A 17,686-nucleotide genomic window follows, 5' to 3' on the forward strand; every position below is an offset into this window, starting at 1 on the left:
ATATAAGACAACAAACTACAGGGACCAAACAGGTTGAGATAAAGTTCAAAATAATGTTCGAGCTGGTTTAAGTGAGAAGTTGGCACAGGTAAACCCAAAGAACACGATTAACACTGGAAAATTCAATCACTAAAACAAAAGATGCAATTTAGACAAGAGTAGAAGATAAACATGATGATAGATTAGATGATAGATATTGAAGGAGGATGGAGGCAAAATAATCCAGGATCAACGTAAAAAGTATGTATGTTCTCAAACGGAAAAAAAAACAAAAATAATAAAAATATGTATTTTAAAAAATACTTTTCTAAGCTTGAAAATAGAATGGAAATACAGCTTATAACATATGAGTAAAATTAACAAGAAGAGAGACAAAGTTAGGCGAAACAATAATAAAGAAATATGTAAGCATTATGAAAAATACTAAATTATAAAAGTGGTCACTGACAATGGAAAATATCTGGTTGATATCTGCAACACTGAATCCCAGAAGATGTAAAAGGAATTTAGATAGTTAATGTTTGTAATCTAGCTTTTTCTGTTGTAAGACAAGTCACAATTCACAGAGATGAAGGTTTATAATATATATATATAATAATACATATTATATATACATATACTTCCTAAAAAAAAACCCTTGAAATAAACCAAGAGTGATACAAAATAAAGAACACATGCATGCGTTAAGACTTTATTCAGTTTTCTTTCTTTCTTTTTTTTTTTTTTTGAGACGGAGTCTCACTCTGTTGCCCAGGCTGAAGTGCTCACTGCAAGTTCCGCCTCCCGAGTTCACACCATTCTCCTCTCTCAGCCTCCCGAGTAGCTGGGACTACAGGTGCGCACCACCATGCCCGGCTAATGTTTTGTATTTTTAGTAGAGACGGGGTTTCACTGTGTTAGCCAGGATAGTCGCGATCTCCTGAACTCATGATCTGCCCCCTTGGCCTCCCAAAGTGCTGGGAATACAGGCATGAGCCACCGCACCCAGCCCAGTTTTCTTTATAAAATTCCCTAATCATAAACTTTTTTTATTTGCTTAGTTTCCATATATTATTAACTTTTGCATATACAGTTGACTTTATTAATCTATTACTATTGGTTTTTGCTGCTGCAGTAAAACATTACTACAAACTTAGCAGCTTAAAACATATACATTTATTATTTTAGTGCATTTTTGGGTCAAGTGTCCCAGCATAGCTTTGCTGGGTCTTCTGCTGGAGGTTTTCATAAAGCTACAATGAAAGAGGCAAATGGGACTCTTGTCTAATCTGAAGCTTGACTGGTGAAGGATTTGCTTCCAACATCAGGTTGTTCTTGGCACTGCTCAGTTTCTTATGGGCTGTTAGAGGATTGGGTTCCTTGACTGGAGGATACCCTTGCTTGGTTCCCTGCCACATGGGCCTTCCAGTATGCTCACATGCTTTCTTATATCCAGCAAGGGAGAGTGTCTCCTCATAAAATGGGTTGAAGTTGTATGTCATGTCATCACAGAAGTGACATCCCATGACGTTTGCCTAAATTTGTTGGTTAGTATGAAGTTACAGACTCTGCCCACACTCAAAATAGGGAAATTACACAAGATATAAATATTAAAAAGTGGGAATCCTTGGGGGCCACTTTAGATTCAGCCTGTTTACTACCCAGAATAGAATTAATCATATAGACAAATGTATTATATAATCCTTTAGATCCTTTTTTTTTTTTCCAGGAGACCTCTCTCCTGGAACTTCTTTTCCCTTAACCCCATGTTGGTTTCTTTCTTTCCCATATTCTATGTTCTTTGTTTTTTTTTTCCATTTTTATTTATCCCCTTTTTGTTAAGTACATTCTCTTAATAGCTGAGAAATTCAATTTTTGTGATTTTTCAGAAATAATCATGTTCTTATTTCTTTCTTACATTTGACTGATTATTTAGGGATACATAGAATATAAATTTAAAGTACTTCCCCTCACGTGATTGATAGTATTGTTTTGTTATGTTTTAATTTGCAGTGTTATTTTCCAGTGTTAGAGAATATACATGTAAACAAGAATTTCTGTACATTATAGTAATGTTAGTCTTTCTGGACAGTGTTCTATCAATTTATATTAAAAGTTTTTAACAAGTTTATATCCTTTGTCCTTTTCAGGATTTTTTTCCTAAGGAAATAATTAAACATTTAGTTTCACAGTAATATTCATCTTTGTCTTCTAATAGTCAAAATTTAAAAATAGTTGTAATTCTGAGTTAGAGAAGATTTGTTTAACAGCTAATCAAGTGATTAAATGCATGACCACATACATAAGCATTCACCAATTCTTATATTTTTCAAAGAATATTATTCATTGCAAAAATAGGAATCAATAATTTATATACACAAATCTATATTATGTGTAAATATTTATAGAAAAACATAAGGAAATTTTGAAGGGGCCTGCAGTGATTAGTTATCACTGGTTAGCCACTTATGCATAGACTTTACTTTTTTTTTATTTCATAAAATTTTCAAATCCTACTGAAGGAGAACAATCATAAGGAAAAATTTAAATTGAGTCCCCAGTGAGAGATAATTAAATTAAATGTTATACTTTCCTAAGTCTAGGTTGGTGTTTTTCTGCCAAGGAGCAATTCTGCCCTCACACCACCACCTCCAGAGGACACTTGGCAATGTCTGGAGGCATTTTTTACCATTTTAAGTGAAGGGTTGCTAGTAGTATCTAGCAAGGCCAAGGATGTTGCTAGATCTTCTGAAATGCACAGAATGACCCTCTGCTCCACAGGAAAAAAAAATTATCTGTTTCAAGATGTCAATAATGCCTAGGTCAAAAAACCTGCTCTAGGGGTATGTAGGGGTACATATGAAAGAAGATCTGATCCAGTAGATCTCTGTGATTTGCATTCCTAAACATGAAAGAAGCTTACATTTTAATTATCCCTTCAATGAGGACACAGTTCCATCTTTGCACTGACACCTCCACCATTTAGATAGCATCAGGGTGACAGGAGGAGCCACAGCTATACATTTTCCATTCACCTATGCACCACGTATCAGACAAAAGACAAATTTCCCATTGACAGAGTAAGCGGCTTGACTCTTGGGCAGTTTAGAAAAGAGGAAAGCCTCAAATGGAGAACACTGAACATTCTACAAATTTTGAGAGTAGAAATTTCCAAGCAATTGATTGAAAAAGTAAAATAAATGAAACCATTGACTTCTATTTAATAATTTGTACATGCTACACTCAAATATATTGTTATAATGTGAAACTAAGCATTATTAAAAATATATGTTCCTAATATTAAGTAATATTATTGAATGTTAACTAAATAATGCCTTTTAAATAAAAAAACAACCTAAATGCATCTGTCTAGTAAAGTTCCTAGCAGACAGTAAGTGCTCATTAAATATTTGTCAACTGAGGAAAGAAAGACAGCAAGAAAGCAGGAGAGTGCAAGAAAAAATATGACCAAATATGTGGAAGTTGAGCTAGGAAGTAGTCAGGCTAAAAATACAGAAATCAACTCCACAGTGAGAGTCAGATTGAAATCCAAGGTCAGCTTGAAACTAAATATGCCTTTTTTTTCTGAGCTGTTCTTTACCTGCTTCATTTATCAAAACTTTAGATCTTACTTTGATATTGCCATTTTGTCTCCTACTCCAGCATGTGTATTTCTTACTCTGGTATATTAACCCCATGCTGGTTCTAGCCTTGTTGATTTATTTTAGTATCTAAAAATCTGAGTTCATGGGACTTATCTTTACGTATAACTCAACACATCATTAGCAATTTTAGTAATAAAACTAAAACTTCTCCATATAATGATTCAAAAAATCCAGGCTTAATACAATATTTTTTAGTTAAAAGATAATTATTTAGATTGATTTTTTGAAAAATAACAGCAGAGCTAACAGAGATATTCATGAAAACAAGTATGTAATGTCATTATTTTAAGACCTAATCTGCTAAAGCTCATCATCACTGGGCATCAGAGAAATGCAAATCAAAACCACTGTGAGATACCACCTCACACCAGTTAGAACAGCAATCATTAAAAAGTCAGGAAACAACAGGTGCTGGAGAGGATGTGGAGAAATAGGAACACTTTTACACTGTTAGTGGGACTGTAAACTAGTTCAACCATTGTGGAAGACAGTGTGGCGATTCCTCAAGGATCTAGAACTAGAAATACCATTTGACTCAGCCATCCCATTATCGGGTATATACCCAAAGGATTATAAATCATGCTGCTATAAAGACACATGCACACGTATGTTTATTGCAGCACTGTTCACAATAGCAGAGACTTGGAACCAACCCAAATGTCCATCAATGATAGACTGGATTAGGAAAATGTGGCACATATACACCATGGAATACTATGCAGCCATAAGAAGGGATGAGTTCATGTCCTTTTTAGGGACATGGATGAAGCTGGAAACCATCATTCTTAGCAAACTATCGCAAGGACAGAAAACCAAACACCGCATGTTCTCACTCATAGTTGGGAACTGAACAATGAGAACACTTGGACACAGGGTGGGGAACATCATACAGTGGGGCCTGTCATGGGGTGGTGGGAAGGCGGAGGGATAGCATTAGGAGATATACCTAATGTATATGATGAGTTAATGGGTGCAGCACACCAACATGGCACATGTATACACATGTAACAAACCTGCATTTGTGCACATGTACCCTAGAACTTAAGGTATATATATATATATATAGATGTTGTTTAAAACAATTATTGTTACGCAAGTGCTACTCAGTAAATGAGTCAGCTAAACCAGTAAGGTGACTCAAAAAGTTGAGTCTTTAGGGTGGAAAAGCAAATTTTATTGCCGATTGCTCGGAATTTAATGTTGACTATGAAATTTTAAAACACCTAATTTTAAAAAGTTCAAGGTCTCAACTATAAATGAGACATTTGTAATTATTGTAATAGAATATGTGAATATTCACTTTATTTTTAACATAATCATTGAGAAAATGCAGAAACAGATAAAAATAGATTATGAACATAAGATATCATTTTACAACTTTGCAATATTATCATACGTTTTCATATCATGTTTTAGATTATACATTTTATATCAATTTTATATTGTGTTTTATATCATAGATATGTTTTATATCAATTATATTTTATATCATGTTATACATAGATAAGTAGCTATAGAGATAGACATAGAGATAGTATATTAGTCCATTCTCACACCATTATAAAGAAATACCTGAGAGTGGGTAATTTATAAAGAAAAGAGATTTAATTGGATCATGGTTCAGCAAGCTGTACAGAAAGCATGGCAAGGGAGGCCTCGGGAAACCTGCAATCATGGTAGAAGGCGAAGAGGAAGCAGGCACATCTTCACATGGCCAGAAAAAGAGGAAGAGAGAGAAGGGGGGAAGGTGCTCCACACTTTAAAACATCCAGATCTCCTGAGAACTCTATCAGGAGAACAGCACTCAGGGGATGGTGCTTAAACCATTAGAAACCACCCCCTTGATCCAATTGCTTCCTACCAGGCCTCACATCCAGCATTAGGGATTACATTTAGATTTGGATGAGGACACAGATCCAAACCACATCAGATAGATACACTGCATCTAAAATAATAGGCGTTCTACACTTAGCCTTTCTAAAAACATTTTTCATATGTTTTTAACAATGAATATATAGAAAGCACGAAACCGTAAAATGAAATTTGCGAGTCCCTTTTACCATGTTTGTTTTGCCATATTTGTGCCACTTCCCTAGAGAAGGATCCTTAATGAGCTCCTTGCCTCTCAGGACCTCCTTTGAGCCAACTTGGGCTTCCATGGCCGACTCTCACTTTAGTTATTTCCTGACTCACTCTCCACACTGAATCATGCCTATTGTATGATGCACTCTATCACAGCCTTTGATCCCTGTTTAATGATAGCTAGCAAGTGGAAAACAAAAGCAAGCAATGATTGCATACTTGTGTCTTTTCAACATTTTTTTTTTAGTAACTGCCAGTTTAATCTTTACCAGGTCACATGCAATTGTATCAATACACAGTAATGATCTCTCAGCACACTAATTTTATTTACATTCTCCACATGGCATTGATCATTTTCCATCTATTTTACTGTTGGTAGTTCCTAACCTCATATCCTGTATTGGCAATGATATCTTTAAGGTTTTTCATCTAATGATTATTGTGGGGTTTTTTTATTGTTTGTTTTCGAGACAGAGTCTCCCTCTGTCGCCCAGGCTGGAGTGCCAGTGGTGCCATCTTGGCTCACTGCAACCTTCGCCTCCTGGGTTCAAGTGATTTTTCTGCCTCAGCCTTTCAAGTGCCTGGGATTACAAGTGCACCCCAGCATGCCAGGCTAATTTTTATATTTTCTTTAGCAGAGACAGGGTTTCACCATATTGACCAGGCTGGTGTCAAACTCCTGACCTCAAGTGTTTCACCCATCTCGTCCTCCCAAAGTGCTAGGATTACAAGTGTGAGCCACCGCTCCCGGCCATAATTATTGTTTTGGGGCCTTTTTTTTTTTTGAGACCTAGTCTGGCTCTGTCGTCCAGGCTGGAATGCAGCAGCACGATCTTGGCTCACTGCAACCTCTGCCTCCTGGGTTCAAGCGGTTTTCCTGCCAGCCTACGGGGTAGCTGGGATTACAGGCGCCAGTTTCCCCATGTTGGCTAGGCTGGTCTTGAACTCCTTGTCACTAGTAGAGGATGGCGACTGCAAGTTGTCCAAGTTCTTGGCATTTTGAACAAAGAATTGGATAGAACACCCAGCAAAGCAAACAAAGTATGAAGCAACAAAAGAATGAAAGTAGGGATTTGTTGAAAAGGAAAGTACACTCCACAGTGTGAGAGCAGACGCGAGCAGTAGCTCAAGGGCCTGGATACAGTGTCTTCTTGGGTCCAAATACCCTCTAGAAGTTTCCCATTGGCTACTTCATGCTCACCTCATGTAACGGAAGTAGTAGCCCTCAATCAGTCTGATTGGTTGCAGACAGCAGCCATTCAGAGGCTAGAGTGAAGTTACAAAGTTGCAAACCAAAACTCACTGGCACTCAGTATGATTTGTTGCAGACAGCCAATCTCCCATCTGCCATGCAGAAAGCGTCAAAGGGAGTAGCCTCTGGTCCTTGTATTACTTAGAGTGGAAAGTTAGGATTTTCCTTTCAATTTAGTTCTAGAATGTCGGCATGAAACAGCCTTAGGTTTCCTGCCTCCAGACCCTATTCACCTGCCTGGTCCTGACCTCCAGTGATCTGCCTGCCTCGGCTTCCCAAAGTGCTAGGATTACAGGCATGAGCCACCACACCCGGCCAGATCTAATGATTATTTTTAATTTCGGTCCAATGGTCATTTCTTTCTCCCTTCAATGATATTCTATATTTATACTCCGGATTAGTGCTCTGGGAACGCTAATCCTATGAAGCCCCAAAGTGTAGACTGTGGAATGATACAGTAGTATTAAGATGAAAGGGAATGAACTGGTAAGATTTTTAATCTCACTTTTTTTTTTCGACTCAGAGTCTCGCTCTATCACCCAGGTTGGGGTGCAGTGGGCATGATCATAGCTCACTGTAACCTCAAACTCCTGGACTCAAGCCCTACTCCCTCCCATCTCAACCTCCTAAATAGCTGGGACTATGGATATGTGTCACCACGCCCAATCAATTTTTTATTTTTATTCTTTGTAGAGATGGGACCTCACTGTGTTGCCCAGGCTAGTCTCAGACTCCTGGCCTCAAGTGATCCTCCTGCCTTGGCTTCCTGAAGTGCTGGGATTACAGGCTTGAGCCACCACACCCGGCCTATTACATATTTTTTAGTCAGGTTTGTTAAGGCATATTATAAATAGGATAAAATGTATCCATTTTACGTTTATAGTTGGATAAGTTTTTGACAACTCTATGCGATTATGCAAATATCATTAAAATAAAAATATAAAACATGCTATAAACCTGAAAAATTTATTTGGATCACTTTGCAGTTAATCCCCTCTCCCCAATTAAAGTCTTGTCAATTATTAACCTATCTGTTTCCTGTCCCCATACTTTTATCTCTTCTCAAGTGTCAAATCAATGGAAACACACAGACTTGTGTTTAGTTTCTTTTACTTGGCTTAATGCTTTTAACATTCATCCATTTTGTCAAATATCTTGCATTCATTCCTTGTCATTGCTGCGTGGTATTCTGTTTAATAGATGTACCACAATTTGTTTATCTATCTCCAGTTAATGGAGTTTGGGAACGCTTCTTGTGTTTGGCAATTATTATATTTTAAAAAAACTTTCAATGAAAATTAGCATATAACTATTTATATGTACTTATCATTTTCCTTGGACAAATACTTGGGTTAGGTTATAAGTGTATTTGTAACTTTATGAAAAACTTGCAAACTGTTTGTCAAAGTGGCTACATCATTACACATTTCCACCAGAAATGTATGAGTATCTAGCTGTTCCACATCATTACCAACAATTGGCATTGTCTGGTTGTTTGTTAGCATATTTTTTCTTTTTTTTTTTTCAGCCTTTCTAGTGTGTACTTAGAAGTATCTGCTTTAAATTTCATTTTCTTAATGACTACTGCTGCTAACTATCTTTTCTTGTCATTTATCATCCATATACATTATGAATTACCTGCTCAAATATTTCTGCTCATTTGTAAGTTGCATTTTTTATGTTCATGTTGCTGAATTTAAAATGTTCTTATGTACTCTAGATTCAGGTCTTTTATTAAATATAGAACATTATTTTGCAAATATTTTCTTTAGTCTGTGGCTTGCCTTTTCATTCTCATAGAAGTTTTCTAAGAACAGAAGATTTAATTTTAATGAAATCACATTTATCTATCTTTTCTTTTATAGTTTGTGCTTTTTGTGTACTATCTAAGAAATCTTTGCCTAACCCAAGGTTACCCATATTTTTTCTCTGTTCCCTTTTAGAAGTTTTATGATTTTATCTTCTAGTTTTAAGTCTGTGATATAGTTTAAGTTCCATTTTATGTGTTTTCGCAAAGTGTTGGTTAACAATAATTTATTGTCTATTTCAAAAGAGCTAGAAAAGATTTGGAATGTTTCTAACACAAAGAAATGATACATTTCAGGTGACAGATATCTTAATTACCCTGATTTGATTGTTACACATTGTATACTGTATCAAAATATGATATGTACATCATAAATACATATAATTATTATGTATCAATTTAAAAAATATTTTAACTGCCTTTAATTTGACTGGCCTTGGGTGTTGGATTTAACAGAAGACTTCATACAATACCTTAATCCCAAAAAATGCCCTCAGTGATATAAATTATGAGACTACTCAATTAAGAGAGTTATAGGAAGCATGTGGGAATTATGTGGGCTTATAATTAACTGTAAAAAAAATAGAACCAGTTTTTGTGTAAAGTTTAAGGCAGAACACAAATCTGACCTATTTATAATCAATCAAAGAAAATGTTGTTTAGGCAATGCTAACTTTCAACAAAGTAGCAGTTTTCTAAATTTATTCCAGCATGATTACTGAAAAGATAACCTTTTTATTACAGAATGTCTGTTTTATGTTTACATAGCTTCAAGATACCATTTCATATATTGGCAAATCCCTAAAATGTTTTTTAAAAAGGAAAGCTTTGTTGATTCTATTAGCAAATTTTACCACTAAGTAGAAATATCTTTAACATTTTGGTTAGTATAGCTTTTGATTAAGACATTTTTGAACTTTTATGCTATTTTTCCAGCAGTGATAACGCATGAAACAAAGAAAAAGTGCCAAAAGATATGTTATGCAAACATGGTCACATTATTTTAAATAATAGAGTTATGAGAATGGTAGTTTTATTTTATATGCTTAAGAATGTTTTGTGTAATCATAATCACATTGTTTCTAAGCTATATACCATGGTGATGATGCCAATGGGATCAAATAATCACATTTTCCACCTATATTCAAATATCCAAGTAATTATTTCAAAATAACATATTTTAATTATAGAGTAAGATTGCAGAGTAAGAGGCATATTGAGCTATTGATAGACAAGAGAAGTGGTTTTAATCAGCCATATCAAGTATTAAAATTCCAAACCAGATATATTAGAGTAGTAATTCATTGTAACATAAATGATCAGAAGTGGGATACCACCAATTTTAGTGTTTAACATTCATTAATTTGTTTAACTGGGGAAACTCTGAAAGTAAAAATTTTTAAATTCACATATCAGTACTAAAAGTTCTTTTGCCTGAGAAAATATATTGTGGCCTAACATTATAGGATGATTTGATATTTGCCTATATTCCAGACTCCTCTAAATTACATGTATATTTAGTATATGTTATCTGGACTCTAATATAAAATAATGTTCTTTTTATCAAGAATCCTATTCGTTTTATACGACAGTTTTTTTTTCCTGGTAGTATCCCATATTGGATTTTGATTAGTTTAATCACATCAGTAGTTTCATTTTAAATCTTTTTTAATCTACTGTAGAAATCACAAAGATATATAGGATACAAAATGTTGTCTGGTTGTTTGAAAGACCATACAATAGTCTGTTAACTAAAAAGTATCATTTTCTCTTCCCTTATGAGGAATTACATTACCAGCTCATCAAAGTATAATGAACTTACATTAACATGGATGCAGCTGCTGTCAGAGAACATCCTTAGTCTTGGAGGAGAATTATACCTTTAGAAACAAAAGTTTGAGAATGATTAGAGCATGAAATACTCTATAAAACATACAAATTTGTCCAGTTCTAAAGGTCTAACTTTCATTTTACGATATATATTTTATAATGTTAATGTCATAGAATGTGGATTCCAGCTGTATTGCCATTAGAGTTCTGTATTACTCACTTTCTTGGATGTTTAGGTAGAGTGAATAATACCTGATTATTTGAATTTACCATCCTATAATGTTTAACAGTAATGCCATCAGGAGTTATTGAGCTGTGAAAGGTTATTTTCTCCTCTACCTAATGATTCCAGGCTGTTTTCCAGCACATCATGACTTTGACTATTCTTCTCTTTCTTTCTTTCACTTGTCAGAATAACTATATTGATGAGTCTTAATTATTTCTATCATTGGTTCTAATATTCTGTCTTTTGCAATTCTACTAAAGACTTAAGGTACAGAAGAAAACAGAAACAAATCTTTTATAAACCTAAAATTTCTGACAATTTAGTCATCAATTGCTATATTATTCACTCACAAAACAAAATCCATGAGCTTCTGTAACAAATGCACCATTCTAGATGCTGGATAAATAGATTTTACTACTGTTGTTCACTTCCCATTTTGCATTCATGTTCTAGATGCTTGAAGCTGTCAGAAATCTGTTCACCAAAAAATTACTCAGTATTTGGTTTCATCAACCTGTACATTGGTTCAGAAGGTAAAATGATAGGAAACTGAATTGCATCACAGGAATTTAAATTGTTATTTGAAAATATTTCTCTTTTGTGTTTAATATCCACTTTGCTTAGTGTCACAGTGTGTTGATTTTAACCGAACACAGTAGCATACAAAGTGGATTTTCAAGTTGAGACTTGAAAGACTCTGCAGGATCAAAGATAATACAAGGTGGGTGGATAAAATAGTAAAAGTGAAGAGCATCATAATGAAAATAACATTAGTTTCACATTTTTCAACCCTGTACCCTTTATAAAAAAGTTAAATGATCTAAAAATATATATATAAAACCCCTTCCAGGCATACAAATAACTACACAGGGAACATCAAATGTGTAAGACAAAACAAAACAGAATAAAAAACTGAAAACTTTTTTTTCCTTTCCTTTAAGATTTTAGAGTGTATTTTAAGAAGGGAGCAATAGCTTTACTCTATTTTATTAATTTTGGAAAGAATATGCTGCTTAAGACCCCCCCGCCAGCTACTGAGATATATGAGGTTTTGGGATTTGAAATAATTTCATAGTTCTATCCTCAGTGCCTAGAAAATGACCAGCACATTGTAGGCCCTTAATGAGTATAGTTTTTATTAAGTGAATTAATGAATAAGCTATCAGATGATAAAGTAATTGTCTTTCACGGTAGCCCACATATAATTCTAATGGGCTATAATTCTCAAACAAGTTTTGTAGTCATCTTAAGTTGAATCAAGATCAACTTCTTAAATTGCCCTTTAAATATTCACAGAATTCTTCTTTTAGTAGGCATGTGCTCTTGGGCAAGTTAAGTGCTTCATTTCCCTCTTCTGTGGAAAACCTTGTCCATAGGAGTACCTACCTTATTCTAAGGAAAGAAAAAATAATAATTCACGTAAAACATCTTGAAGAGTGCTTGACTCATAATAAATCCATATAGTTTATATAAATATAAATTATCATGCTGTATTATTTCACCATATACATAAATTAAATCTATTGAACTTAAGTAATTTATACGCTAGTTCTAAATGAGGTTATTATGCCCATGAGCATTAAAAAGACTATTTTTATCTATATATTTCTGATTATTTACTAGTAAGGAAGTCATGTTATCTAGAAATAATGATCAGTACTGATGACTTACAGTTTAAATTGTAGTAATCCAGAATTACTTTGAAAATTGTCAATATTTGCTCAAGGCTAGAAAATAATTACTCATCAGCAAAACATTTTTGAACACTCAGAGACATCCCATAAATGCGTACAGGTTTTATCTCACACCAAATCTATTCCCAAGAGGAAGACTGGGGCAGGTATACACTGCTTACTAAGCTGTAAGACTTGGTGTGCAGTTGCATCTGCCTGCAGGAAGGGAAGCTTATTTGTAATTCACACAAAAGTGTGAAGTTGACCGGCAGCAGCCATGTGAACCCACAACCTTATTTTCCTCCAGTGCCTCAATAATGTGCTTCGAGCAAATCATTTTAGAAACTATTTATTTAAAGTTAAATTCATTAAAAAGCCATTTGTTAATGCTGTTGAAGTCTTCCTACAACCATGTTCTAGTCATTGTGCTATTTGTTGAAGATACACACATAAATAGAATGAAGTTCCTGTGTCTGTCCCATACACATTCTCATGGCCTAATGGAATTGAGGGAGACCCAAGCATATCATCACAATATTAATTATACATATGTCACAATATTAATTAGAATTCAGAAGAATAAAGGCCGACCTGACCCAGAATAGAAATATCCATCTAAGCCTGGGATAGAGGAGGATTTCAGAAGCTTGTACATAAATAGAAGTGGCAAACTTAATTCATAATCTGACTCCCAAATTTGCAATTATTAACCTCTAGGTTTTCAGACACTCAAGACAAAACAAAAAAATGCACATTTAAAACAACATACAACTATAAGTTCATCTACAGTGAACATGTGATAACTTCAGTTCTCTACAGACAGAATCCTAGGAAACTTCAATTCTCAGGGATAAACACAGAAGGCAAAATCTTGGAAGAGATAAATAGAAGGACTAACCAGAAAGTTGTGAAGGAAACCAAGAGAGAGTTGCATTGAAAACCCAAGGGAGTAGAAAATATCAACAGAAGCTGAGTGCCAAGAAGTACAATAAATTAAAGGCAAAAGTAAATAAATAAATACATAAATACATAAATATAATTGGGTTTCATAATCGGGAAGTCATTAGAAAGAGTTCTACTTAGTTGTATAATTTTGGTTTTGGCATGTTTGTCTTTACTTAGTTCATGCTAATAAATACCAGACTAAAAATATCTTTTTAAGCTCAGACTAAAAAAAATCAACTTTTTTAGTTTGAATGGCAAGAGGTTATGGCAGAATAAAGAGACTTAAGAGAGAATGGAGGGAAAATTGATAAAGCAAAAGGAATCAAGCTGAAAATTCACAAAGATAGAAGAAGAATGAAGTTCAAAATACAAATGCCTGGGTTGGCTTTGGACAAAAGAAGCACTACTTCATTTGAAGTTGGGCAGCAACAGGTAAAACAAAACAAAATATAAATTTCCTTAGGGCAAACCTGCCTCCTATTTTATTCAAACTCACCCCTCTGCTCACTGAGATAAATTCACAACTGATTGCATCATTTGGAGTGGCTAATCCGTAACTCAAAAGAATGCAACTATTTGTCTCTTATCTAGCTATGATCTGGAAGCACCATCCCTGATTCCAGTTGTCCTGCCTTCACCTTGAGTTGTCCCACCTTTCTAGACTGAACCATTGTACATCTTAAACATATTGATTGATGTCTCATGTCTCCCTAAAATGTATAAAACCAAGCTGTGACCCTACCACCTTGGACACATGTCGTCAGAACCTCCTGAGGCTGTGTCCCAGGTGCACGTCCTCAACTTTGGCAGAATAAACTTTCTAAATTAACTGAGACCTTTCTCAGATTTTCAGGGCTCACACATGTATAATAAAAGCTTTAATGCAAATTGGCTATTTCAGCTTGATCTGTCCTGTGCTTCTTCCCTCTCCTATAGGAATAGAATATTCCAGACAGGAGCTGTTCCTTTAACCTGGATCACAGAATGGAATTTCAAGTGAAGCAGACCTTTAGTCAACCCATAGACCTACAGCGGAGCCACAGACAAATCTCAGGCTTCATACATGAGAAATAAATTGATGTTTATTTGTGTAAACCATTTTAATTTAGTAGGCTGTTTCTTACCTCAGAAAAAGCTAACCAATACAATTTCTTATGATGATCATGTGTTATAATGGATACATTGTTATTACATACGTAAATGAATGATTATTTTCCCTTTCCCAAACAATTAGAAAAGTTTGGTTTTTAATGAGTGACAAAATATTGTCCTTTGTTAACATAGTTGAGAAGAAATAATTTTCTTAAGTCAATATTGATTCCTACATTTTTAACATCCTCAGTGTTCATGTATATTACAAAAAATAGTATGTCTTCAGAGAATTCCCAAAGATTTTCAAATAAAATTACTGCTGTATTTGAAACGTATTACAACCTGAAATGGAATCTATATAATGATGCAATTTTAATATAATATATTCTAGTCATTTCTCTATGTAACAAATTAAGAAATTTGTGATTTGAAAGTATACTCAAAGGCTAATTCTAATTTTAATAGCACTCGACCACTTTTCTGTACAGATCATAACTCTAATGTGAAATAAAAATTCAGAAAGTCTATTTTCCAGGAATTCCAGAGAATCCCAAAGTAAATGCCAGTGATATTTGTGTTAGATTTACAAATGCTAGATAATTTAGGGATAAAATAAACCTAAGAGAAGAACAAATATACTAAAGCATTTCAAATCAGAGTATTCAATTGGAAAGAGCAAAAACCTGTTAATAGAATATTTTCCAAAAGAAGTATCACCTAATTTTGCTTATATGACATCCAAATTATATATAACACCCTGAATACATGCCTAAATATATTAATGCCACTATTTCACGAAATAATACCAAAGCCTTTTGAAGACATATATGACCCTTTCGAAAGTTAAATTGTTAGATTAAGTTCTGAGAAAAAATGTTTCATTTTTCTATGAAGATATCAAGTTTTTAAGATGCACCCATCAACTAATAAGCATTTATTGAGGGCTTCCTTTTGTTCATTACTTCACAGATAGGTGAGATGCCAAAATTGCAGTAGACAGCCTTAAGATTATTTCTGATTCCTGACATTCATGTTCTTGTAACATTACTTTCTGTTGAGTGTGAGTTTGACCTAGTGACTTGCTTCTAACAAATAACTCAGCGCAAAAGCCATAGGAATCACTTTAAGATTAAATTTTAAAAACACTCTGTCTTCTATCTTGGGCACTCTCTCTTGCTCATATTTTTTGAGAGCCCTCTCTCTGAGTTAAGCCAGCTGCCATGTTGTGAGTTGCCCTATGGAAAGAACCCCTTGCCAAGGAACTGATGTCTATGACCAATCATTGAAGATCCACCTTGAGGCCTTACAACAGCTTCGTGCGTTTGGCTTCAAAGCCTGCCACAATTGAGCCTGGAGATGACCAATAACTCAGCCTCAGTCAACACTCTGAGCTATAAGAGAACTCGTTCTGAGCTAGAGGACTCTAGCTAAGCCAAACCCAGATACTTAATAGACATAGATTGTGAGATACATATTTGATATTTTAAGCCACTAAGTTTAGGGGTAATTTTTTATTCAACAATGTAAATAAAACTGATACACACAGCATGGTTCATCTTCACAAGATCTCAATAATAAATTATGATTTTAATTAAATATTACACAAAAGTCTAACAATTAATGATCCAAAATGAGCAGCTGAATAGTCAATTCTTAATAACCAGAATCTTTACTAGATTATTTATTTGTTCCTAAGTTGGAGAAAATGATTTTATGTGTTATTTTAAACTTTGATCTCTGTGCACATTATGCCATTAATGGTAATACTTGTTTTCTATTAACCACTAAAATGTGCTGCCACATTAGTAGAGCTCGTTTTAGAACTAGTTTGGAAGATGATCAAGTCCTCTGTGATTTCATAGTGTCTGACCCATTGAGATCCACAGATTTAAGATTAATTTAAATTTCTCTTTTTAGTTAACATCTGCTATGTTACTACTCTGGATCTGGCTCTTCTTGTTGTAAAATATGAATTGAATTTTCTTGAGGAACTAGAACTAGAAGTGGGACCTGATTAGTCAATTAGTCAAACTTCATAATCTCCTTCTTGGCTACAGTGATTAGTTCACTCAATTTTGGCCTGTATTAACCATGTCAAAGACCCACTTCAATGATAAGGGAGAGAATAAACTTTTTCTTCTCTATCTCTCTGTAAAATTTTTTTCTGTAGTCTTGAATCTAAAAGGATGTAGGCTGGAGCTATGGACTTTAATTAATAGTACTGTACCAATATTGGCTCATCGACTGTAACAAAGATACCACACTAAGGAAAGATGTTAAAAATAGGAAAAACAGGCGTTTGGGAAGAGCATATGGAACTTTCTGCTGCATTATTTTGCCTACAAAACAAAAACTGTTCTTAAAAAATAATGTCTATTCGTTTATTACTTTCACTACATAAAAACTGGGAATTGAGCCAATACAGGGAACAGAGTAAAATTGAGAGCAGGTAGAGGAATCAGGCTCTGGTGCTCTTTTAGTTTTGGAAGCCAACTCCAGACCCTGGACTTCTCAACGAAGCAAGCCAACAGACCAACAGACTCCCACTCTGTTTAAGATAATGTATTTGCTTATTTATTTATTTATTTATAGTACATTTCATTTGCTCAATTCATCCAATCAGGTATTCGTTTATTCAAGAAGTTTATATTTGGTGCTTATTCTGTGGAAGCAGTTCTCCCAAATTCAAGAGGAATTAAAGATGTATAGGACTAAGTAACACACTCAAAGGACTTAAGATCTAGTGAGAGAAGATATGCCCACAAATATTTCTGGTATCTGGAAGTATGCAATAATAGTATTTAATTTCTTTCTTCTTTGTTCTAATGTTTTTAGTTTGGGCTACAATCCTTGTCTGTTGGTAAACTCTGCTGCAAACTACCGTCCCCCTCAGTTAACCCTCCTGTTCCACTGACTCTCTTATTTTATTACCTACCACTCTGCCCTGGCTTACTATACTCCAGCTCTTTCTGGGATGTGTCCATCATACCACAGCCTCAAGGTCTTTGCACCTGATTTTTCCTCAGTCTGGAGTAATCTCACCTCAAATATCCACAGGGATTGCTCCTTCATCTCCTCCAGTTTATTTTCCATGAAATGTCATATTTTAATGTGGTATTACAAATCCTGTTTCAA

The 17,686-nt window shown here is 34.5% G+C and overlaps 2 long non-coding RNA genes across 3 annotated transcripts in view, besides 1 other annotated feature; one reads left to right on the top strand and one right to left on the bottom strand.

The window, feature by feature from the left end:
• LOC105369895 (uncharacterized) overlaps positions 1–13,025 on the bottom strand; it is a 47,008-nt gene extending 33,983 nt beyond the window's left edge. The window contains exons 1-2 of one of the 2 annotated variants that reach the window (XR_945187.2): positions 12,964–13,025; positions 10,608–10,665 (exon numbers count right to left, since the gene is read on the bottom strand). This is a non-coding gene — a long non-coding RNA (uncharacterized LOC105369895). Of the gene's footprint in view, positions 1–10,607; positions 10,666–12,512; positions 12,663–12,963 lie in introns of those variants that run through there. The other variant, XR_945188.2, reaches the window with a different exon arrangement.
• Positions 13,026–13,080: 55 nt separating this feature from the next.
• On the top strand, positions 13,081–14,554 carry LOC124903074 (uncharacterized). Its single transcript, XR_007063578.1, has 2 exons — positions 13,081–13,891; positions 14,396–14,554. It is a non-coding gene; the product is annotated as an uncharacterized LOC124903074 (long non-coding RNA).
• Positions 13,618–14,817: an enhancer, noted in NCBI's record as "BRD4-independent group 4 enhancer chr12:91203521-91204720 (GRCh37/hg19 assembly coordinates)". NCBI's record gives its function as "activates an origin of replication core promoter dependent on BRD2, P300/CBP, MED14 and CDK7 cofactors, and independent of BRD4, by STARR-seq in HCT116 cells {active_cell/tissue: HCT116}" and the evidence as "EXISTENCE:reporter gene assay evidence [ECO:0000049][PMID:35650434]".

This window comes from Homo sapiens, chromosome 12, assembly GCF_000001405.40.
Source record: "Homo sapiens chromosome 12, GRCh38.p14 Primary Assembly".
Lineage (NCBI taxonomy): Eukaryota > Metazoa > Chordata > Mammalia > Primates > Hominidae > Homo > Homo sapiens.